At 49.8% G+C, this 23170-nt stretch overlaps 1 protein-coding gene across 1 annotated transcript, besides 11 other annotated features; it reads right to left on the bottom strand.

Moving 5' to 3' along the window:
* Positions 1–1806: 1806 nt before the first annotated feature.
* Positions 1807–10613, bottom strand: RNF187 (ring finger protein 187). The gene is made up of 4 exons (NM_001010858.3): positions 10117–10613; positions 8943–9035; positions 4721–4942; positions 1807–4112 (listed from the first exon to the last, which is right to left on the bottom strand). Exons 1-4 carry the CDS (start codon positions 10504–10506, stop codon positions 4110–4112), a joined length of 708 nt encoding a protein of 235 aa, NP_001010858.2. The 5' UTR covers positions 10507–10613; the 3' UTR covers positions 1807–4109.
* Positions 4176–5121: an enhancer, noted in NCBI's record as "H3K4me1 hESC enhancer chr1:228680575-228681520 (GRCh37/hg19 assembly coordinates)". NCBI's record gives its function as "activates a minimal SCP1, AML or CMV promoter by ChIP-STARR-seq in naive H9 embryonic stem cells {active_cell/tissue: H9 hESC(naive)}" and the evidence as "EXISTENCE:reporter gene assay evidence [ECO:0000049][PMID:30033119]".
* Positions 7193–7487: an enhancer, noted in NCBI's record as "tiled region #4602; HepG2 Activating DNase unmatched - State 14:Gen5', and K562 Activating DNase matched - State 5:Enh". NCBI's record gives its function as "activates a minimal TATA promoter and a strong SV40 promoter by Sharpr-MPRA in HepG2 and K562 cells {active_cell/tissue: HepG2 | K562}" and the evidence as "EXISTENCE:reporter gene assay evidence [ECO:0000049][PMID:27701403]".
* Positions 8439–9166: an enhancer, noted in NCBI's record as "H3K4me1 hESC enhancer chr1:228676530-228677257 (GRCh37/hg19 assembly coordinates)". NCBI's record gives its function as "activates a minimal SCP1, AML or CMV promoter by ChIP-STARR-seq in naive H9 embryonic stem cells {active_cell/tissue: H9 hESC(naive)}" and the evidence as "EXISTENCE:reporter gene assay evidence [ECO:0000049][PMID:30033119]".
* Positions 9167–9895: an enhancer, noted in NCBI's record as "H3K4me1 hESC enhancer chr1:228675801-228676529 (GRCh37/hg19 assembly coordinates)". NCBI's record gives its function as "activates a minimal SCP1, AML or CMV promoter by ChIP-STARR-seq in naive H9 embryonic stem cells {active_cell/tissue: H9 hESC(naive)}" and the evidence as "EXISTENCE:reporter gene assay evidence [ECO:0000049][PMID:30033119]".
* Positions 9975–10174: a silencer, noted in NCBI's record as "silent region_1922". NCBI's record gives its function as "represses an Ori minimal core promoter by ATAC-STARR-seq in GM12878 lymphoblastoid cells {active_cell/tissue: GM12878}" and the evidence as "EXISTENCE:reporter gene assay evidence [ECO:0000049][PMID:35858748]".
* Positions 9975–10873: a biological region, named in NCBI's record as "H3K27ac-H3K4me1 hESC enhancer GRCh37_chr1:228674823-228675683".
* Positions 10013–10873: an enhancer, noted in NCBI's record as "H3K27ac-H3K4me1 hESC enhancer chr1:228674823-228675683 (GRCh37/hg19 assembly coordinates)". NCBI's record gives its function as "activates a minimal SCP1, AML or CMV promoter by ChIP-STARR-seq in naive H9 embryonic stem cells {active_cell/tissue: H9 hESC(naive)}" and the evidence as "EXISTENCE:reporter gene assay evidence [ECO:0000049][PMID:30033119]".
* Positions 10435–10554: a silencer, noted in NCBI's record as "silent region_1921". NCBI's record gives its function as "represses an Ori minimal core promoter by ATAC-STARR-seq in GM12878 lymphoblastoid cells {active_cell/tissue: GM12878}" and the evidence as "EXISTENCE:reporter gene assay evidence [ECO:0000049][PMID:35858748]".
* Positions 10874–11735: an enhancer, noted in NCBI's record as "H3K27ac-H3K4me1 hESC enhancer chr1:228673961-228674822 (GRCh37/hg19 assembly coordinates)". NCBI's record gives its function as "activates a minimal SCP1, AML or CMV promoter by ChIP-STARR-seq in naive H9 embryonic stem cells {active_cell/tissue: H9 hESC(naive)}" and the evidence as "EXISTENCE:reporter gene assay evidence [ECO:0000049][PMID:30033119]".
* Positions 11175–11554: an enhancer, noted in NCBI's record as "active region_2696". NCBI's record gives its function as "activates an Ori minimal core promoter by ATAC-STARR-seq in GM12878 lymphoblastoid cells {active_cell/tissue: GM12878}" and the evidence as "EXISTENCE:reporter gene assay evidence [ECO:0000049][PMID:35858748]".
* Positions 21149–21984: an enhancer, noted in NCBI's record as "H3K4me1 hESC enhancer chr1:228663712-228664547 (GRCh37/hg19 assembly coordinates)". NCBI's record gives its function as "activates a minimal SCP1, AML or CMV promoter by ChIP-STARR-seq in naive H9 embryonic stem cells {active_cell/tissue: H9 hESC(naive)}" and the evidence as "EXISTENCE:reporter gene assay evidence [ECO:0000049][PMID:30033119]".

The following is a 23170-nucleotide window of genomic DNA, read 5'->3' as shown; positions in this document are numbered from 1 at the left end:
GGGCACAGTGGTGACGAGAGAGGAAGAGCTCGGGGTGGATTATGTAGCACTTCCCAGGCCACTGCGAAGCTTTCCCGGAATGAATCTGAGTTGCTGCAGGGCCTTGAGTACAGCAGGGGCAGGCTCTTGCTTAGTTTTTATTTTCATTGTTTTAATAAATTTCATTGTGTATATTTAAGGTATGCAACGTGATGTTACAAAGTACAAACAGATAGCAAAATGGTCACTACAGGGGAGCAATTAACATTCCCATCACCTCCCAGAGTCAACCACTTTTAGGATTTTGTGGCAAGAGCAGCTGAAGTCTAGTCATTTAGCAGGAACTCCCAAAACAGTGCAATTTTATTACCTACATTCCTCCTGTTGTACATCGGATCACCAGACTGGTTCATCCTACATATTTTAAAGTAGAAACCCATCTACCTGCTGGGTTGAGAATGCATTGTTGGAGCAGCGGGAGGAGATGAGGTCCCCAGGTCTCCTGGGCAGAAGAGGACAGTGCCAGTGGGCCACGGTGGGGGACTGGCGGGGAGCAGGTAAGATGAGGTCAAGGTCTTTGGCTACAGGAAGAGCCTGCAGGATTCCTTTGCAGACCTATTGTGGACTGTTAGAGAAAACAACTCAGAGACAGCTCTGAGATGTCTGAGGACTGCAGGGATTGGGCCCCTGGGCAAGTCTGGGATGGAGGCAGTGGTTGGACCTGGAAGAGGGTTTGGGAGAGAGACCCACGTCAGAGAGGCAAGTGTGAGGTCACCATGGGGGGCTGGATAGGACAGAGAGGCCACACGAGGATGCCAAGGGTTCTTCCACATGAAGAGGGTGGAGTGGAGAGGACACAAGGGAGACGGAGGAGCATCAGCAAGGCCAGAGAAAGCCCTTGTGGAGGGAATGTCCCTACACAAAAATCCATTCAAAACAGACAAGGGCTTAATTGTAAGGCCTGAAACTGTAAAGCCAGTAGAAGAAAACACAGGTGAAAAACTCCATGACACTGGCCTAGGTTTCAGGGTTGTATCACTTCTTGCATATGACCCTAAAAGCACAAGCAACAAAAGAAAAATAAACATACATGATTGCATAGAGCTAAAAAGCTTCTGCACAGCAAAGGAAATCATAAACAGAGTGAAGACAACTCACAAATTGGGATAGAGTATTTGCAAACCATACATTAAGTAGGGGGTTAATATCCAAAATATACATGGAACTCAAACTCAATAGCAGGAAAGCAAATAAACGACTAAAAAATGAGCAAAGAACCTGAAGAGACACTTCTCAAAAGAAGACATACCAATGGCCAACAGGTATATAAAAAAATGCTCAACATCATTAATCATCAGGGAAACGTAAACCAAATCACAATGAGATTATCTCACACTTCTTAGAATGACTAATTTCAAAGAAAATAAATGTTGGTGAGTATGTAAATTATTATAGCCATTATGGAGAAGCATATGGAGGTTATTCAAAAACTTAAAAAGAGTACCGTGACCCAGCAATCCTACTGCTAAGTATTTTCCCAAAGGAAACGACATGAATATATGGAAGAGATACCCACACTCCTGTGTTTCTTAAGAGCACTTTTACAACAGTCAAGATACGGAATCAACCTACGTGGTCTAGAAGCAAAGTGATAAAGGGATAAAGTGGATAAATGGCTTAAGAAAATGTGGTGTATACACATCATGGAATACTATTTGGCCATAAAAAAGGAAACCCTGCCATTTGCAACATGGGTGAATTTACAGGACATTTATATTAAGTGAAATAAGCCAGGAACAGGACAAATATCACATGATCTCACTTATATGTGGAATCAAAATGTTGATTTATAGAATTAGAGAGTAGAACGGTGGTTAGCAGGGGCTGAGACAAGAGGATTTGGGGAAATTCTAGTCAGAGGGTACAGAGTCCCTGCTATACAAGAATAAACTCAAGGTCTATTGCACAGCATGGTGACTTCAGCTGATAACCGTGTACTGTACGCAGTTGGCCCTCTGTATCTGACTGTCCCACATATGTGCAGAGGGAGGGCTGACTGCAGGGTACTTGAGTATCTGCAGATTTTGGTATCCATGAGGGGGTCCTGGAACCAATCCCCCTTAGGCACAGAGGGATGACTGTATTTGAAATTGCTGAGTGTAGATTTCAAATATTCTCACCACCAAAAAAAACATGAGATGGATACATTAATCTGTCACTCCACAATGTACATAGATATCAAAACATCACACTGTGCCCCATAAATATATAATTTTCTTAAATAGAAAGAGGTTGTGATTGACAGGGTGGGATGTTGCTGGTCAGCTAGGTTAGGTGAGGATGGTGAAGCCACTGTCGGACCTGGTGATGTGGAGACACTGATGTTGTGGGAGACTCTGCCATCAGGACCTGTCCGGGCAAGCATCACAGGTGTGCAGGGCAGGGGCAGGGATGCTCAGGGATGACAGCAGACTGCAGCAGGCGGAGACAGTGAGAAAGACAAACTGGAGGTCTCAGGGTCGGGATGTTGTTGGCGTGCTGACAAAGATTCTCTACTTGGCCAAACTCTGGCCAGGCTCTGGAATCTTCTCCTAGGGCCCTCTTTGCCCTTTCTTATGAAATCCAGTTTTAGCAAGAACCCTAATTTGGTTAACCATAATATCTGACCACCCTCAATGGTACCTGACTGGGTTCCTCTCTGACCGTTTGCAGCCAATGTCTGATCGCCCTGCCTGCCTGCAGCAAGGACTCTGTGAGGTGGGTTTAGCCAGAGCCCCCTCAGCCCTGATGTCTCCTCACAGTCATTCCCACCCATGGACCCTATACTGCTCCTCGCTCCTCCAACCCCTGCCCTGCTACGTCGGGGTGGAGCCCCATCTCCCCCCAGGCCCCAAGGAAAGGGTCCCACACCCATCTCAATGGTCCCAATCAAAGTCCTCCTCACCATGCTTTAGCACGTGTCACGAGGAAGTTTCCTTTGACACTGGAGGGTGGCCAGGGCAGGGGGAAGAGGCCAGGTGGACACACGGAGACGAAGCAAACGAGCTGACACAAACCCACTTTATTCAGCATTGAGCCAGCCCACACGCTGGGCAGGTCAAACTCACAGACATCGCACCAAGGGCCGGGGACTCAGAAGGGCTGAAAGGCTTCATCTGGAAATGGGCACCGCTCACAAGCCCGGCTATCCCCAAATCTCAACAACTGTCTGCATCTATGTCCCCGACTTTGCAATCCTGTCCCCAGTGCTGAGTTTCTGTCGACTAATTTATCTACACACAAGGATGCTGCAGGCAACTGAGCTACTGCTACAAGCTTTGCAAAATTCAACTACTAAAGGAAATGGGAGGAGGGAAAGAGCTAGAGATAACAGCAAGATGAGACACGATGGCAGGGCCTGGAGATGCTAAATGGGGTTAGCCACCTGCCAGCCCCCTCACCCAGGGAAACAGAGAAAGAGGCTTCCTTCTGCGGAGGCAGGTGGAGCACAGGGAGGGCTCCTGGGAGGCACAGGAGTGGGGTGGGGGCCAGGAAGGGGGAGGTGGACAGAGCGACTTGGATAAGGCTGGGCCGGGCCCACGCCCACCTCAAGAGGGGGGCCGCCTCCTCAGGAGGCATCAAGGTGCAATCCAGTCTTCCTTTCTCTCCCTGAAGACCTGAGTTCCAGCCTTCACAGAGCGTCATGCGCATTCTTCTTTCTGGATGCTAACCCCAAATCCGACACTCAATGGTGCACCTCAGGTACCTGCCAAGGATCTGTGGGCCCACATGGAAGGTGCAGGGTCTGGGTCCCTGGATGACGAGGTGAGGGGCAGATGGGTGACCAGGGAAGGGCATGACCCAGAGCTGCCGGGACTCATGGAGGATGGGCTGTGGCTAGGACTTCAGGAAGGGACGGGCACAGGTGGGAAGGGTCCTCAGGTCCAGCCTCTACCGGGAGGTGTTTGCAGCCCCCAAAACACGCCTCGGGGTGAAGGATAAATGGACATTGTTGAAACACGCAACTATGTAGATGGACCCAAGGCCAGGCGCCTGCCACGCTTCCCTGGCAGCCACACGCTGACACTTCCCATGGAGATGAGGATCCATCCTCCTGCCTCCAGCTCTGGGACTGCCACGGGTTGGCGCCATCACTGCATGGGAGGGGAGAGGGAAAGACAGAGAGACAAAAAGAGAAAGAGACACACAGAGTCAGAGACAGAGGCAAAAGGAGAGAGCGAAAGAGAGAGCGCACATGAGACAGCGCATGAGGTACTGTCCTGAGCACAACAAACCCAGGGCCTGGCCCAGACTTCCGTCTCCCCAGGGCCAAAGCCTTGTCACCTATGGCTGGCACGGGCAACTGAACCGTTCAGGGCCATCTGGGTTGCTGCAGGGTCTGGGGTTCAGGCCAGGCCCTGGGCAGAGGCAGAAGAAAAGCCCTGAGGTTGGGTTTCTTGGCTGCTTCTGCCTTCAGGACCCCAGGGCGAGGCAGGAGCCTTCCATGCTCGGGCACTCGGGATGCCAAGTGCCCTCCTTTGTGAAGGTCAGGGACACCTCAGACCCTCCTCAACTTAAAACCCCTTCCCATCACCTTCCCTGACCACCCACCCATTCCCGAAATTCAGCCCTGCAAGGCCACGGCAGTGGGAGTCAGGCTGGGCTTTTAAGCCTTGACTTCGGGCAATGGTCCCCCAATGGCTCGCTGCTGCCTGCGTCCACCCTGGCCCGATGGTGGGCAGACCCAGCGGGGCTCCCGCACCTGCAGCAGCATGCTGAGGCCCAGGTTGCGATGCTTCTTCTCCAGCTCCGAGACCGCCTGCAGCAGTGACCTGAACCGCTCAGTGGGGTCAGCCAGCTCGTCCTCAGGGAGCCCCTCCTCCTTCTCAGCCTCCTGCAGGAAATGCTCCTCCTCCTCCACAAAGAAGGCCCGCAGCTTCTTGTAGTCGGTCAGTGCCTTCTTCCTACGGTCCATCACGTGTCCCTGCAAACGGGTGGCAGGAAAAGACCTGTGTCCTCACCCACCCTCCCCAGGGGAAGGGGAACCTGTTTGCTCTTGAAGGAGTTAAGAACATGCCACTCCAAAACATGCTGCTCAGGCACATCGACTATTAGGCCAGGCACAGTGGCTCACGCTTGTAATCCCAGCACTCCAGGAGGCCAAGGCGGGCGGATCATGAGGTCAGGAGTTCAAGACCAGCCTGACCAACATGGTGAAACCCCGTCTCTACTAAAAATACAAAAATGAGCCAGGCGTGGTGGCACGCCTGTAATCCCAGCTAATCGGGAGGCTGAGGCAGGTGAATCACTTGAATCCAGGAGGCGGAGGTTGCAGTGAGCCCGAGTTCATGCTACTGCACTCCAGCCTGGGCGACAGAGCGAGACTCCATCTCAAAAAAAAAAAAAAAAAAAAAAAAAGCCAGGCACGGGGGCTCACGCCTATAATCCCAGCACTTTGGGAGGCTGAGGCAGACAGAACATGAGGTCCGGAGATTAAGACCATCCTGGCCAACCTGCTGAAACCCCATCTCTACTACAAATATAAAAATTAGCTGGGCGTGGTGGCGCACGCCTGTAGTCCCAGCTACTTGGGAGGCTGAAGCAGGAGAATCGCTTGAACCTGGGAGGCAGAGGTTGCGGTGAGCCAAAAAAAAACAAAAAACAAAAAAAAAAACAATAACAGAAGAGGCCTGGCACGGTGCCTCATGCCTGTAATCACAGTACTTTGGGAGGCTGAGGTGGGAGGATTGCTTGAGCCCAGGAGTTCGAGACTAGCCTGGGCAACAGTGAAAACCTGTCTCTACTAAAAATCAAAAACATTAGCCAGGCATAGTGGTGCACACCTATGGTCCCAGCAACTCGGGAGGCTGAGGTAAGACGATCGCTTGAGCCCAGGAGTTTGAGGCTGCAGTGAGCTATGACCATACCACTGCACTCCAGCCTGGGCCAACAGAGCAAGGCCTTTTTTAAAAAAAATCAAAAAACAGTGCAAGATCACCCTGACCTCCATTCTGCTTCTTAAAAGCAAATGAAATTCCCAAGTGAAAGACGCCCTCCCCATATCAAATAAAATGATTTTATCATCAAGGACGACAGGAAGTCAAGGCCGACAGAATTTGGTACAGACCTTGTGAAAACAACTCTTTCAAGCATCCCCACATCATGTAGTTGCTTTTTTACAAGTGGCTAGTCTTTGTCCAAGTCAGTATATAAGTGATTTAATTTTGCCACTTTGAGTCTTCATTTCATTATAAGGGAGCCTGTGCTGTATAAAACTTGTGTTAAATTAATATGCCTGGCTGGACACGGTGGCTCACACCTGTAATCCCAGCACTTTGGGAGGCCGAGGTGGTTGGATCACTTGAGGTCAGGAGTTCAAGACCAGCCTGGCCAACATGGTGAAACCCCATCTCCACTAAAAATACAAGATTAGCCAGGCGTGGTGGTGCACACCTGTAGTCGCAGTTACTCGGGAGGCTGAGGCAGGAGAACCACTTGAACCAAGGAGGTGGAGGATGCAGTGAGGCAAGATCGCACCACTGCACTCCAGCCTGGGCAACAGAGCAAGACTCCATCTCAAAAAAAAAAAATCCTATGTTTTTTCTCCCATTAACCCATCTCCCTTTATTTTTTTTTTTTTTTTTTTTTTGAGATAGGGCCTCACTCTGTCACCCATGTTGGAGTGCAGTGGTGCCATCACAGTTCACTGCAGCCTCAACCTCTTGGGCTTAAGTGATCCTCCCACCTCAGCCTCCCAAGTAGCTGGGACCACAGATGCAACACCATACCTGGCTAATTTATTAATTTTTGTACAGATGGTGGTCTCACTATGTTACCCAGGCTGGTCTCGAACTCCTAGCCTCAAGCAATCCTCCTACACCTCAGCCTCCCAAGTTGCTGGGATTACAGGCATGAACCACTGCACCTGACCCTGTTAGTTTAGCTTATGTCAGTTTAATTCTCCCGCCCAGCCTGGGGCCCTAAAAGGGGAGAAATAGAGTTCTTTCTCCCCTACACTGCAGTGCTCAGCTGCACAGGAAGACTGTCCCTCTCCCATCTCCCATGGCCAAGGGGACAGTAAATCCTTGAGTGGCCCTGCTAGGTCTAGAGCCTGTCAGGCACGTGACTGTCAGGGCAGGACACACACCCATCTTGCCAGCAACTGTCCCTGCTGTGCCCACACCAGAACTCCAATGGCTGAAAACCATCCCATCAGCCTTCAACAAACAGCATTCACACTTGCCACTCTTCAGCTGGTTTTCAGCCAACTCCTAACCTTGCAAACAGGAGAGCAGAGCAGGATGCTACTCTGATTTTACTCAGTCATGGATGGCTTCCACCTGGCCCTGGGCCACACAGGGCAGGTGACACCCATAGTCATGAGGGGCCAAGGCTTTTGTTGCTGAGAATGCAAATGACAGCTGGGTGTCTGCTGGCTGGCTGATGCAACACGCTGCAAACTCCTTCCTTTGGATTTAGGTGGCTTCTCTCATCCCAGCATCTAAGCCACAAACCCCCAAAACAGGACAGATTGAAAGCTCCAACCTGCTAAAATCTGTGGGCAAAACAATTCCCTTGGGGTAACACAGGGTTACTGAAAACTTGGAGGTCCCCAAAGCCTTCCAGCCTCACTTGCACTGGGCAGTGTTGACCACTCACAAGGCAAGGAGAAGTTCAGAGCAGCCCCAAGGGCAGTGTGGAGTGCCAGGGGTCTGAGTGGCATCAGGGACCCCATGTGTAACCCGTCACTGTCTGAGGGAGGCCTGCACCTCAGGCCTGTGGATAGCAGGCAAGGGCTTGGCAGCACCAGGAGCACAGAGCCCACCTCAGCCTCAAGCTGGGGTAAAAACGTGGGCCTCAGCCTCGAGATGCAGCCAGTTACCCAAGAGCTGCTGCACCTGTGAAAAGCACTCTGTCTTTCAGGTTAAAAGAAGGAGATAGGAATTTATGAAACGCAGAGAAAATGGCACACAGGTTTTTACTACACGAGGAAAAAGTCACCAAATAGAGTTTAAACGACTAAAGAGCTTTACTGGTGAGTAACCTAAAAGAATCTATGGGATGTCCCCTTGGGATATAATACTGTGGAAGGCACCCAAGGAAAGTAACGCTGCTCTGGTCTGAATGTCTGTGTCCTCCCCAAATCCCCATGCTGAAATCCTCATCCCTCAGGTGATGGCGTTAGGAGGCAGGACCCTTGGGAGGTGATGAGGTTGTGAGGGTGGAACTCTCAAGAACGGAATCAGTGTCCTTACACAAAGGCCCCAGAGACACCCTCACTTCTTCCACCATGTGAGGACACAGTGAGAAGACACCATCTATGAACCAGGAAACGCCCTCACCAGACAGGGAATCTGCCAGTTCCTTCATCTTGGACTTCTAGCCTCTAAAAAATAATGAGCAACTCTCAGATCAGAACAAGAGGACCACAGAAAATTACAGATGTGTTCTAAAAAAGAAAAAAAAAATAGCACTTTGGGAGGCCAAGGCGGGAGAACCGCTTAAGGTCAGGAGTTTGAGACCAGCCTGGGCAACACAGCAAGACCCCCACCTCTAGAAAAGCATTTTAAAATTAACCAGGTGTGGTAGCACGTGCCTATAGTCCCAGAGGCTGAGGTGGGAGGATCGCCTGAGGCCAGTTCGAGCTGCAGTGAGCTACAATCATGCCATTGCACTTCAGCCTGGGTAATGAAGTGAGACTCTGTCTCTTGGGAAAAAAAAAAGAAGTCTGATGCTGCCATCACCTACAGGTAAAATGTGAGGAGAAAAAGAGGCTTCCACTGGCTTTGGCTAGATTCTATTTGAGAAATACAAACACATCCTAAAAAAAATACCCTGAAGCTCACTTAAGTCCAGAGGCCCCTCCTCCAACCAACCAGCTGAGCAGTTCAGAGGCCTGGCCCACTTGGCCTGGTGGTCCCTTTGTCTAGAGCCCTGAGCCCACAGTCCCCTCATTCCAGGCTGCCCCAGGTCCCCCCACTTGCCTTCCACACTGCAGCTGCTGACTCTGCCTGGCCATGCAGGTCCCGGGCGTCATTCAAGTCCTTTCTCATGATTTCCACAGACCCCTTGTTCTCCTGTAAAGAAAAGAAGGTCACCAGGGGTGGGCAGAAGCTCTGGGTCCCCCAACCCAGCCCAGTACTGAGGGACATCACCCCAGCTGACTGCACACAGTCTGACCATCCCAGAGATAACCTCGAAGCCCGGTTGTCTAGGGCAGGAACGCACAGGCAGTCAAAAGGTTTCTTGGGCTTCACACCTATTCAGAAGGATCTGGGTGCTGGGGCTAAGGGGACTGTCTAGGTGGGTTTAGGAGTTCTGTGTCTGTAAGTGGCCCTGTTCAGTGTGAGTTCGGCCTGTACCAAAGGTCTGCACAGCCTGCCCTACACCCTGCCCTGCCTGAGCCGGATGGGGGTCGCTCTGCCCGGTGGCAGGACCCCCAATGCAGGAGGAGCACCCAGGGACACAGTCTGGCTGGCTTCCCCTCCCCTGTATTGAAGAGCAGGACCCCAGGCTGGCTGTTGTCTCCTATTCTGTGTCCCACAACCAACCCGCCATGGGCAAGGCTCCAGACTCCCGGACCCGCTGCTGCCAGACTCTCAGAGCGGGTTTCTGAAAGATGGGAGAGGGGACAGGGGGTGCAGGCGAGGGCTGGGTGGCCCGGGGAGCAGACGAGAAGGTGGGCCAGGCCTGTGGACACAGTGGAATACAGAGGGGCAAGAGGCGTGATGTCTCCCCCAAGGGAAGAGTGAGTGGAGGAGTCAATCTGTAGGAACTAGAGGGGGTCTATGAGGGCGAGACAGGGCACAGCTAGTGATGGGACCACAAAGATGGGCGCTGGTGGGGGAAGGACTTCGTAGAAGGTAGGGGGTGGGGAGATAAGGCACCGCCCAGCAGGGGACACCAAGACGGGGAAGGGGACCAGACTCCGAAGAGACGCAGGAAATATGGGGAGGCAAGCCGCAGGAGGGAGGGGCCCAGCACACGCTGGAGAGGGGACCCGTGGCGGTGAGGGGAGGGGGACAATCCGGGGACGGGGACAATCCGGGGACAGGAACAGTGGAGACGGGAAGGGCCCAGGGCTCAGGGGGACCGGGGCGGGGGCGGAGAGGCGCAGGGCACCGTCCGGGGTGGGGCACGGGACCCCGCGGCGCGCACCTTGCCGCGCAGCGCCTTCCTCCAGCGCGGTTCCCACTCGGGCGGCTCGGGGCCCGCAGCCATACGGCAGGCGGCGCAGAGCGGGCCGGCGTCGGCGCGGCACAGCAGCTGCAGCGCGGCCTCGCTGGCCGGGCCGTCGCGCGCGGGCGCCGCGGCCGCCTCCTCGAGCGCCAGAAGGCGGCGGCTGAGCGGGGGCCTGCCGGGCTCCACGGCGCGCTGCCAGCAGTCGTCGGCGCACTCGGGGCACGGGAAGGGCCCGTCCTCCTCGGCCCAGAAGCGCACCACGCACGCCCGACAGAAGCGGTGGCCGCAGTCGGCGCGCACCGGTTCCCGGGGCGCGCGCTGGCACAGGGCGCAGGCGGCCTCGGCGGGGCCCGCAGGGAGCGCCAGGGCTGCGGGCGGCGGGGCCGGCAAGGGCGCAGGAGCGGCTGGGGAGGGCCGGAGACCTAGACGGCCGGCGACCGGACGGAGACCAGCAACAGGACGAAGACGCCAACGCCGGGGACGCGCACGGGGCGGGGTCGGGGACGCGCACGGGGCGGGGTCCGGACCGCGGAGCGCTCTGCCGATAAGATCCTGGCAGCGGTGTGCTGCAGCCGGAGGTCCTGGCCGCGCTGCGCTCCACAGACAAGATCCTGGCAGCAGTGTACTGCATCCTTAGGTCCTGGCCGCGGTGGGCTTCTCCGCCTGGATCCTAGCGGCGGTGCGCTCCTCCGCCTTGATTTTGGCAACTATGCTCTCCACCTGCAAGGTCCTGGCAGCGGCGCACGTCACCGCGCAAGTCCTGGCAGCTGCGCGCTTCACTCTACTGCCTGCGGACCGGCCCAAGTCGTATCCTGAAATCTTACTGGGCTGTCCCTTCCTACTTCAGTAACTCCTGCGAAAGAGGGAAACAAAGTTTTATTTTTACTTGAAGGTTCCATTTTTAAAAGGTTGTTTTTGTAAGCTGCTAGGATCTGAGCTGCGCGTACCCCCGCGGTAGCTCGCCCGCGTGGGCTGGGGACGGGGCGGGAAATGGCCTGCGTGGGCCTCCTCCGCTGCTCTCATCCTGCACGGACCCGCCCTGCATGGGCACGCCCTGCGTGCACGGGCCTGCCCGCGTGGACGTGCCCTGCGTGCACCCTTCCTTCAGGGACCCGCCCTTGAACGGCCCTCCGGACGTGGACACTCGTATACGCCCACCCTGCGTGGGATCTCCCTGCGTGGACCCATCCCGCTGAGCCTCTTCTCGCGCAGCCTCCCTCTGGCCCCCTGGGAAGCTACCCTGGTTGTCCGCTGTCTCCTGGCTGGGGGGAGCTCTCATTGATTCTGTGATGATGCATGACAGAAGAGCATTTGTTAGCTTTGCTTTGCTTTTCTTTCTTTTTTGAGACAGCCTCGCTCTGTTGCCAGGCAGGCTTGAGTGCAGTGGCGCGATCTCGGCTCACTGCAACCTCCGCGTCCCGGGTTCAAGCGATTCTCCTGCCTCAGCCCCCCGAGTAGCCGGTATTGCAGGCGCCTGCCACGACGCCCGGCTAATTTTTGTATTTTTAGTACAGACGGGGTTTCACCATGTTGGCCAGGCTGGCCTCGAACTCCTGACCTCGTAATCCACCCGCCTCTGCCTCCCAAAGTGCTGGGATTACAGGCGTGAGCCACTACACCCGGCCGTTAGCTTTTCTTTAAAAAATAAATTTAAAGGAAAGAAATAAGCCTTTGGGAAGAGCAATCTTGTGTTTTTGTTTTTTAATTATTTTGAAAACAAGCAAGCATGGTTAAAATAAGATTGTGCAAGTTTTGCATTTTAAAAAATTAATCTGGGCCGGGCGCCGTGGCTCACGTCTCTAATCCCAGCACTTTGCGAGGCCGAGGCGAGCGGATCACAAGGTCAAGATATGAGACCATCCTGGCTCATGGTGAAACCCCGTCTCTACTAAAAATACACAAATTAGCCGGGCGTGGTGGCGCATGCCTGTAATCCCAGCTACTCAGGAGGCTGAGGCAGGAGAATCACTTGAACCAGGGAGTCGGAGGTTGCGGTGAGCCAAGATCGTGCCACTGCACTCTAGCCTGGCGACAGAGCGAGACTCTGTCTTAAAAAACAAAAACAAAAAAAAATTTTTATAAATCTGTATTCCAAGCAAGCGCAGGATCTAATGAGGTATTTTTGTCTTTGTGAAGATTTTTTAAATCGACTTGGAAATGCACTAGATGCCCGTGGGAAACATGAATAGTAAACCGAGGTTATTTCTGTGTAGTAAAGATTAGAGGCTTCCAGCCGAGCCTTGCTGATATTGTTGAGTCAACTAGGAACTTGCTGGAGAGAAAAGTAAAAAATATAAAAAATGAGCAAACTTCATAATGAACTAATCTTGTGAATGAGAAAATATCAAAAATTATAATTAAAGGCAAATAGCCAAATTAGGAACATTGTAACCACAAATATACAAAGAGTTTATAAAATTAGGTAAGGAAAAGCATGATGGAAAATACACCTTGTCATGGGATTTTTCAAATCACAAAAAAAAAAGCACACAAATGATTGAACACACATGAGAAAAAAATGTACACTCTGCCCAGTTAAGAAAGAGGAAAATAAAACGAGACTCTCTTTCTTTCCACTATTAAGTAAGCAGACCAAACAAAAAAAAGGAAACTTGGCCGGGAGCCGTGGCTCAGGCCTGTAAACACAGCACTTTGGGAGGCCGAGGCGGGTGAATCATCTGAGGTCAGGAGTTCAAGACCAGCCTGGCCAACATAGTGAAACCCTATCTCTACTAAAAATACAAAAATTAGGCTGGATGTGGTGGCACACGCCTGTAATCCCAGCACTTTGGGAGGCTGAGGCAGGTGGATCACAAGATCAAGAGATCGAGACCATCCTGGCCAACATGGTGAAACCCCGTCTCTACTAAAAATACAAAAATTAGTTGGGCATGGTGGTGCACGCCTGTGGTCCCAGCTACTTGAGAGGCTGAGGCAGGAGAATAGCTGGAACCGGGAGACGAAGGTTGCAGTGAGCCGAGATCATGCCACTACACTCCAACCTGGCGACAGAGCAAGACTCCCTCAGTTTCAAAAAAAAAAAAAAAATACAAAAATTAGCCAGGCATGGTGGCACGTGCCTGTAATCCCAGCTATTTGGGTGGCTGAGGCAGGAGAATCGCTTGAACCTGGGCGGTGGAGGTTGCAGTGAGCCGAGATCACACCACTGCACTCCAGCCTGGGCAACAGAGTGAAACTCCATTTCAAAAAAACAAAAAACAGAAAACAAACAAACAAAAAAAACACTTGATTCTGTGAATACTGCTTCTTGTAATCCACGTAGCAGTATCGATTAAGGATTTTCTGATTGGAATTCCTTTTCTTAGAAAACAAACTATAAAAATAACAGGAAATGAAAATAATAAAAATTGGGTTGTAAAAAATTGGGCTGTTTTGTTTTGTTTAGAAATGTGGCTGGGAGAGGTGGCTCATGCCTGTTAATCCCAGCACTTTGGGAGGCTGAGGTGAGTGGATAGCTTGAGCCCAGTAGTTCAACACCAGCCTGGGGAACATGGCAAGAACCTGTCTGTACAGAAAATTTTTAAAATTTAGCTGGGCGTGGTGGCACGCACCTGTGGACCCAACTACTTGGGAGGCTGAGGTGGGAGGATCACCCGAGCACAGGAGATTGAGCCTGTAGTGAGCCGTGATCATGCCACTGCACTCCAGCCTGGGAAATGAGAGAATTTTTTAAGACCTTGTCTTAAAAAAAAGAAAGAGAGAGAGAGAGAGAGAGAGAGGTGGGGGCGGGGGGTGGGGGAGAGAAGGAAGGAGTGGAGGGAGAGAGGAAGGAAGGAAGAAAGGGAAAAGAAAAAGAAGAAAGGAAGGAAAGAAAGAAAAGGAAGGAAGGAAGGAGAAAAAGAAGGAAGGAAAGAAAGAGAGAAAGGAAGGGAGGGAGGGAGGAAGGGAGAGGAAGAAAGAGAAGAAAGAAAGAGAAATGTATGTCATATCACTATTCATTTTGGAGAAAAAAAAAAAAACCTTGAAGGTCCAATACTAGGGGCATGGCTTAGCAAATGGTAGCAGCCATGAACTTGCACATGTGTGCATTAGAGACTTTTGGAAGTATACACTGGCAAAGATTGTTGCCTGAAAGCCTCTCTCCCTTACCACCAGCAGAATCCACATTGTGTGGTGCCAGCATCCCCACTTCCCAAGACAGGGTGGCTGGTGTAGGTGCCAAGGGGAACCCTTGGTCCTCTCAAATTTTGATGAAAAATTGCAAAAGGCTGGTCGCGGTGGCTCACGCCTGTAATCCCAGCACTTTGGGAGGCCGAGGCTGGCAGATCACAAGGCCAGGAGATGGAGACCATCCTGGCCAACACGGTGAAACCCCATCTCTACTGAAAATACAAAAATTAGCTGGGCATGGTGCTGCATGCCTGTAGTCCCAGCTACTCGGGAGGCTGAGGCAGGAGAATCGCTTGAACCCAGGAGACGGAGGCTACAGTGAGCTGACATAGCATCACTGCACTCCAGCCTGGGTGACAGAGCCAGACTCTGTCTCAAAAAAAAAAAAAAAAGAAAGAAAAATTGCAAAAGGCAGATCAATTGGAGAAAAGGCAGACACATTTATTTACTGTGTCTATACAAACCTAAAGATATGGGGGAAATCGTCCTTTTTTTTTTTTTTTTTGAGACGGAGTCTTGCTCTGTCACCCAGGCTGGAGTGCAGTGGCGCGATCTCGGCTCGCTGCAACCTCCGCCTCCCGGGTTCAAGCGATTCTCCTGCCTCAGCCTCCCGAGTAGCTGGACTACAGGCACGTGCCATACCGCCCGACTAAGTTTTTGTATTTTTAGTAGAGACGGGGGTTCACCGTGTTAGCCAGGATGGTCTCGATCTCCTGACCTTGTGATCCGCCCACTTCGGCCTCCCAAAGTTCTGGGATTAGAGGCGTGAGCCACCATGCCTGGCCAAGATATGAGGGAAATCATCCATTTTTATGCTTAGGTTCCACAAGGTATGGACAGCCATGCAGAAATAGAATTGGGCAAATAGGGTCGGAGCTAATGAGAAGAGCCTAAGTGGGGACACCCAGCCAGGCCTGTCTGTCTAGATTCTTATGGCCTCTCTGAGCAGTCTTCCTTCCTTCCTTCCTTCCATCCAGGACCCTCTCTGGAGTGAGGGTCTTAAGATCTACAGTCTAACAAGGTAGGTCAGATCATTTCTTCATGGCTGGGTTTTACACAGAAAGGCAGAAAGAAAATTAGAGTCATATTTTTTAAGTGTTATAGCTGGCTTTGGGTTCTAGTTTCTATGACTCACCTTGAGGAAGAGGGATTCTAGTTTCTATGGCCAGACAGGGGAGAATGAGGGGCTAGAGACAGAGGGCCAGAGAAGGTCAGAGAAAACTTTTTGCTTCTGAGGCTGCTTAGGATGTCCTCATTTTGGGTCTTGTTTTCTGAGCCTCCTGGCACTTCTCTGTCCAGCCTCCCTCCTCTCTACCCTCCAGATTAGAGACTGAGCCTGATGCCGTTTGAGCACTCAGTTGGGTGGGGAAAGAGTACTCCTCCTCCCTCATGTGCCTCTTGAACTGTTTGGAAAATTGAAGGCTTTCACTTTCTGATCAGAGACAGGATCAAAGTGGGCAGTGGGTTTTTTGTTTGTTTGTTTGTTTGTTTGTTTTTTCTCAGCATGACATCTCATAGATTCCACAAAGACAGAAGAACATTGACGAGTCTTGGATGTCTCTGGGCTCTTGAATTCCCATCGCATTGGCATCAAAGAACTGAATAAGACACTGTTCCGCCACAAAACGGTGCTGGATGCTGAACCATCATCTTCTCAGGATAATATTTTCAACTGATTAATGTAAAATGTTTGGGGATTTCACTGGCAACCACAAAAGCATGTGAATATTTTCTCTAAGAGTGCGATGAAGTCTTTTTTTTTTTTTTTTTTTTTTTTTTTTGTGAGACAGAGTCTCACTCTGTCCCCCAGGCTGGGGTGCAGTGGCACAATCTCAGCTCACTGCAACTTCTGCCTTCTGGGCTCAAGCAATTCTCTTGTCTCAGCCTCCCGAGTAGCTAGGACTAAAGGCACCTGCCACCACGCCCAGCTAATTTTTGTATTTTTAGTAGAGACAGGGTTTCACCTTGTTGATCAGGCTGGTCTTAGACTCCTGACCTCAGGTGATGCACCTGACCTCAGGTGATGCACCTGCCTTGGCCTCCCAAAGTGTTGGGATTACAGGCGTAAGCCACCACTCCTGGCCAGTCTTTTTTTTTTTTTTGTAAGGCAACAGAAACAACCAAAAAATGGATGACTAGAAGAGAGGTAAACGATTCTAATTATAGGAAATTTTTGAGACAGTCTTACTCTGTCACCCAGGCTGGAGTACAGTAGCATGATCTCGGCTCACTGCAACCTCCGCCTCCTGGGCTCAAGCAATTCTCCTGCCTCAGCCTCCCTGGTAACTGGGACTATAGGCACACACTACCACACCCGGATAATTTTTGTATTTTTAGTAGAGATGGGGTTTCACCATGTTGGCCAGGCTAGTCTCGAACCCGTGACCTCATGTGATCCACCCGCCTCAGCCTACCAAAGTGCTGGGATTACAGTTGAGAGCCACCACACCCAGCCTTAATTACAGGAAATTTTAATCCCACATTTCCCTTGTATATTTGATGTGTCTTTTGTTATATGTATTTTATGGCATTGCGGGTTACCCTGTTTAAAATTGTAGTCTCACAAATCAGAGTGTACAAAAACGAATGTTGAAGAGGCCATAAGCTGTGTATTTAAAAGAAATATGGGAGATGCAAGGATGTTTGGATAGGAAGATATGACTTGGGAAATCTCATGTCCGGCACAGGGAAAAAGGAATCTGAAGTAATTAATTTTCATTGCTCCTAAAAGGCGAAATACAACTAAGAAACACAACTTCCTACGTGGTATGAAGTCACTCTGCTCTTCTGCCTGAGAAAATTGTCAGAATAGAAATGGAGTCACGAATGTTCACAAAACCCTGACCAATAGGATTGGAGAAGTCCTGAAGAGAAGATTTTTGGGCTTGCATGCCTGATTTAAAAAAAAAAAGAGACTACAAAAACCACAGCCTTGCTCAGAGGACATCGCCAGGGTACACAAAAAAGACATTTGCAAGGACATCTCCCCAGTAACCTCCTGTTTAACTTCGGACTGGTGTCACCCTTGTTATTGATATTTCTAACCACAGATAATTATTTCAAAACAATTATGTAATTCTTCTTATTTTTTTCCTTTAAAAACCTTTGTCTTCCTTTACCTCTCTGAATACGCACTTACTTTTTACTATGGCACACGTATTCCCATTGCAATGCTTTATTCCCAAATAAATTTCTTTTAGAGAGCTTGTCTCGGTTTATTTCAGTTGACACCAAATTTTCTATGTGTAAGTGAAAAAAAGGTAGGGGGGAATCATAAAGTGTCAAAATGGAGAGATGTCTTCCAGATGGTTCAGTCCAGTCCCTGTGTCTTACTAAAGGAGACTAAGCATGTTAACACACACACACAAACACACACACACACACACACTCCAACCTGCTGAAAATAAAGTCTCTTTTTAAACATTTCTGTCTACATTGTTCTGGTGTTAGAATTGCACTGGAGGACGCCCAGCTGGTGTCCACTGGGGAATCTGCAGAGTTGCTTGCTTGGTGTGTGGGAAAACACTCCTGCCAACATCTGGTGGCAGAAGGGTCATGTTGAGTGGAGAGTTGGAAAAAAACATGTCCATTGATTTTTCCTGTATGTCTTGAGTTGCAGGGGATGGAAACCCCTTTCCTTTAAGCAAGGAAAATGGGTTTAACAGGCAAGGTACTTGGGAGTGTGTGTGTGTGTGTGTGTGTGTGTGTGTGTGTGTGTGTGTACATAAGAGGGGGCCCACACAGGCTGGTGATAAAGGTGGACTCTGAGCTGAGATGTATGCTTTTTAACTAGAGCCTTGTGCCTGAGTAGAGTAGCATGCAATAAATGATACCTGAGCAGTTCTGTACCTACACCAGATCTGTTTGGAGGGCACAACTCATGCTGCATGTTTCAACCACAGTCAAATAAATAATACAATTCAAAATGTCTTCTTGGCTCTTCAATCTCACATGCATTTAGGCAATCCCACCCTTGCCTCACTAAAATGAGTGCCCACTGATGACCACAACCTTATCCAACATGGTTCTCAAATCGAGGACACATTACAAATGGGCTGATGGCATCAACTCCCACAAGCCTCTGTGTGCTGCTTTGATGTGTCAGGAGCTTTAGGTTGCGGGTGACAGGACCTAACTGCAGATGGCTGTAAATGACAGTGGAGGAGGGTGGCCTGTGGCTCCTGAGACTGCAAGTGCAGCCTGATACTGTCAGGCAGTGTGAGCCCTGGGAGCCTGGGGATGTCCCAGGACACACACTTCTTCCTCCGTCCCCTTCCTCCTGGGTGGTCCCCCTACAGCCCCAGGCAATTGTCTCCTCAAGGCCAAATGGCCAGGTCGGGCTTCCATTGACAGCCACTCCAGCCCAGCAAATCAGAGCTCCCCTCCTCCAGATATCCAGGGTGGGTGTTGGGCCAGGCACTGATGCCATTATCATGACCAGGGAAGGGCCTGAGGACCCAGTGGTCAGACCTCCCATCATGGGCTGGAACCAGCTCCGGCCAGAGAAAGAGGATGCATTCGAGCAGGGCCCAAGCCCAGAGCCACACACCAGCTAGGGGCCAAGGGAGAAAAGGAAGGAAATGACGAAGGGGCCTGATTAAAAAAGAAAAAAAAAAAAAAAAACCACAGCCTTGCACAGATACCATCGCCACCACAGACAAAAATGAGGGACTGTGGTCACCTGCAGGGCCAGAGACAGCATGGGTGGGCTGGGCTACCATCCATACCTCAACATCCAGGAGCCCTGGCCTCTCTCACTGCAACCCTCCACGCAGGCAGAGATAACGTTCACAAAATTAACTGCTACCCTTAAAGATGGCGAATATTAAGCTAACTGTATTATCCAATATTATGGATAGCCTTTGCATAATTTTTAAACCTTTCAACTTAAAAACTCATGTCAAAACCAATTACTCAATGTTTCATTTTAAATGCAATTGTAATGGTAATCTTTTCAATATTTCAGATGTCAAAATTGCTCAAAAAATTAGGATTCTAAATATCTAAATATACCCGTGAAAGGAAAATAAATCTTGGGGCCCCAAAGTCACTTGGCTAAAGAGAAAAGTCAAGCTGGGAACTGCTTAGGGCCAACCTGCCTCCCATTCTATTTAAAGTCACCCGTCTGCTCACTGAAATAGATGCATATCTGATTGCCTCCTTTGGAAAGGCAAATCAGAAACTCAAAAGAATGCAACTGTTTGTGTTTCACCTATTTGTGACCAGGAAGGCCCCTCCCCACTTTGAATCTTTCTGCCTTTGCTTCAGGTTTTCCTGCCTTTCCAGACTGAACCAATGTACTTACATATATTGACTGATGTCTCATGTCTCCCTAAAATGCATAAAACCAAGCTGTGCCCCGAGCACCTTGAGCACTTGTCGTCAGGACTTCCTGAGGCTGTGTCATGAGTGCCTGTCCTCAACCTTGGCAAAATAAACTTTCTAAATTAACTGAGACCTGTCTCAAATTTTCAGAGTTCAAATACCTAAGGTATTTCTATTTTATTTACTTACTTAAGAGATGCATTCTCAGTGTCCTTTAGTTCAATCTAATCCTTATGCCTATCAAAAGACAAAATTACAACAAATTTAGAGACATAATGTTTTTAAAATTATTATTATTATTATTATTATTATTATTATTTTGAGACAGGGCTTTGCTCTTGCTCTGTTGCCCAGGCTAGAGTTCAATGGCGCAATGAGGGCTCACTGCAGCCTCCACCTCCCTGGCTCAAGCAATCTTCCCACCTCAATCTCCCAAGTAGCAGAGACTACAGGTGTGTGCCATCAAGTCTGGCTAAGTTTTAAAATTTTTTGTAGAGAAAAGGTTTCACCATGTTGCCCAGGCTTGTCTCAAACTCCTGGGCTCAAGTGGTCCTCCCACCTCAGCCTTCTAAAGTGCTGGGACTACAGGCATGAGCCACCATGCCTGGCCTAGAAGCTAAGATATTTCTAAACTGAAAGTAATAATAATAATAGGTATTATTATTATTATTCTAAGCCTTTGATTCACTATATATAAAGCAATTCCATAATCCTGACCCAAGCAAATTTGGTTTTCTCTCCCAGGTCCCTGAAGTGAATGAATGATAATCTCTGTTCAGATCCTATCACTTGGTTCCCAGCTTGAACCGGGATGTTGACAAAAATACGGACTAGAGCACAAAAGGGCCTTGCTTGCCTTGCACACCCTTCAGACATAAGTTACAGCTCTGTGGTTTCTTCCATCTAAAACTTGCAACCTCCCTGTCTCAATTGGTTCAGGCCGCTGTGAAAGGAAGATAGTTGGACCCCTTCAGGCTGGGAACCTCTCAGGTCAAATCTACCTCACATGCTATTCAGTCATCCCTCTGCTCACAGAGATAGACGCATATTCTGATTGCCTCTTGGGAAAGACTTATCAGACACTCAAAAGAATGCAACCATCTGTCTCTCTCATCTACTTGTGACCTGGAAGCCCCCAGTACAGTGTGGGTGGGGCGGCCTTGTTTTGAGCTGTCTCCGCCTTTTGGGATGGAGCTAATGTACTTCTTAATATATTAATTGATGTCTCATGTCTCCCTAAAATGTATAAAACCAAGCTGTGCCCCAACCACCTTGGGCGCGTGTTGGCAGGACTTCCTGAGGCTGTGTCACGCACATGTCCTCAACCTTGGCAAAATAAACTTTCTAAATTAACTGAGACCTGTCTCAGATTTTTAGGGTTCACACCACCATAACACTGCAGCAGAGAGACTGGGTGCCATAAACAATAGAAGTTTACTTTCTCATGGTGCTGGAGGCTGGAGTCCGAGATCAAGGTGTGAACAAGGTCATTTCCCCCTGAGGCGTCTCTCCTGAGCCTGTAGATGCAGTCTCCTCCCCGGTCCTCATAGGGCCATCCCTCCTTGTGAGTCTGTGCCCTAATCCCTTCTTATGAGGACAACAGACCTATGGGAGTAGGGCCCACCCCAAGGAACTCATTTACCTTTATTTCCTCTTTAATGGCTCTGTCTCCAAACACAGCCACATTCTGAGGTCCTGGGGGTAGGACTTCAACCTGTGAATTTCAAGGGACATAATTCACTTTATAACAGCCCCCTACCCCAACAAGCAGGTGAGCACCAGCCAGGTTTCCTCCCAGCTCCTGTTTGAACTGGACTTGCTGGCCCTCTGGGGATACTTGGATTCTTGCACTGACTGAGGGTTTGTGTGCATCTGAGGTCATTGTTGACGACAGCCCTCTCTCTAGACATGGGACATCATAAGATGTGGGCTAGCCAGGTGCGGTGGCTCACGCCTGTAATCCCAGCACTTTGGGAGGCCGAGGCAGGCAGATCACCTGAAGTCGGGAGTTTGAGACAAGCCTGACCAACATGGAGAAACCCCATCTCTACTAAAAATACAAAATTAGCCAGGTGTGGTGGCACACGCCTGTAATCCCAGCTACTCGGGAGGCTGAGGCAGGAGAACCTGGGAGGCAGAGGTTGCGGTGAGCCGAGATCGCGCCATTGCTCTCCAGCCTGGGCAACAAGAGCTAAACTCCGTCTAAAAAAAAAAAAAGAGAGAGAAAGAAAAAAAAGATGTGGGCTAACTGCACAGACCTAGAAAGTTGCGGGGCAGGAGCATCAAGGATCAGGACATTACTGGTGTGTTATCAGCATTGCCCTGCTTCTGATCAACAGGGTGGACAGCTTAGGAGCCAAGGGAAAACTTCCCCTTTATCTTCTGAAGTTTTGTTATAAAATCAGCTGACAGAAGGCAGATTGCTAGGAGGAAAGGCTTACACATCTATTAACATGCATGGGGAGAATCACAGGGTGGTTACCCCACCATGCAATGGGGTGCAGAGGCCTTTATTCTCCTCTTAGGGGAAAGGGAGATAAGGAAGTGTGCATTATTTTAGGGGGATAGTAAATATTTTTTAGGGAAATTCAACGGGCTTGAAGAACATACAATGGTCTGGGACAGTCTGTTGGTTTGTGACAAAGACAGCTTCTACCAGGGCCAATTTTATAGCTAAAAAATATATTTACAGCTAGAAAAAAAAGGTCTGTCCAGGCATGTTGACCGACTTCAGTCCTCATTCCTGTGATGAGAGTTCAGCCGTTTGAAACTCAGGGAAGGGATCGGAGGCCATTGTTTTCTGCTGCAGCAGGTCTGCACTTTAGGCAGATAGGGGAATTTCAGAGAACAGCTTCATCCAGTGCTTTGGGAGAGACAGAAGATTGGGAGACAGGAAGGAGGGGAAGGTCAGAGAGACCTGGAGGCTTCTTATTCAGTTCAGCATGTCAAAGCGCTGGGGTATCAGTTTCTGAGCCCCAAAAAGAGCAAACAGCATTCCTGGCAGGATAGAGGAATGCAAGTGTAGTAACCATGCCTTTGATTTTCTATATTTTCAGAGGCTTTGACATCCAGGGCCTCACTGGCCATGGAGGGACAGCTTCTCCCGGGGACAATTTTATAGCTAGAAAAAAAAATTTACAGCTAGAAAAAAAAATTACTGGGATTGTGCATTTCATATACAAACTCACCAACCCAGAGCCCACAGCCCCAACCACTCATCTATGGAGCTGTCACACTCCAGGCCACTATCGTTCTCTCTCTGTTATTTTGGTTGGCACTCCAAATTTTCTATGTGTAAATGGAAAAAGGGTGAGGGGGATCACAAAATGTTGAAATTGAGAGATGTCTTTGAATGGCACAGTCCAGCCCCTGTGTCTTATATAAAAGGAGACTAAAAGGAGTACATCAGGTTAATACCTACACATATTGCCAACCTGCCAAAACTGAAGACTCTTTTAAAAATTTCCCATTTGCATTTTTCTGCTGTCGGAATTGCATTGCATTGGAGGACACCCAGCTGGTGTCCACTGGGGAATCTATAGAATTGCTTTCTTGGTGTGTGGCCCAAAGCATC

The sequence above is a fragment of the Homo sapiens genome, chromosome 1 (assembly GCF_000001405.40).
Source record: "Homo sapiens chromosome 1, GRCh38.p14 Primary Assembly".
NCBI lineage: Eukaryota > Metazoa > Chordata > Mammalia > Primates > Hominidae > Homo > Homo sapiens.
This window is presented reverse-complemented; position numbering and strand designations above follow the sequence as displayed.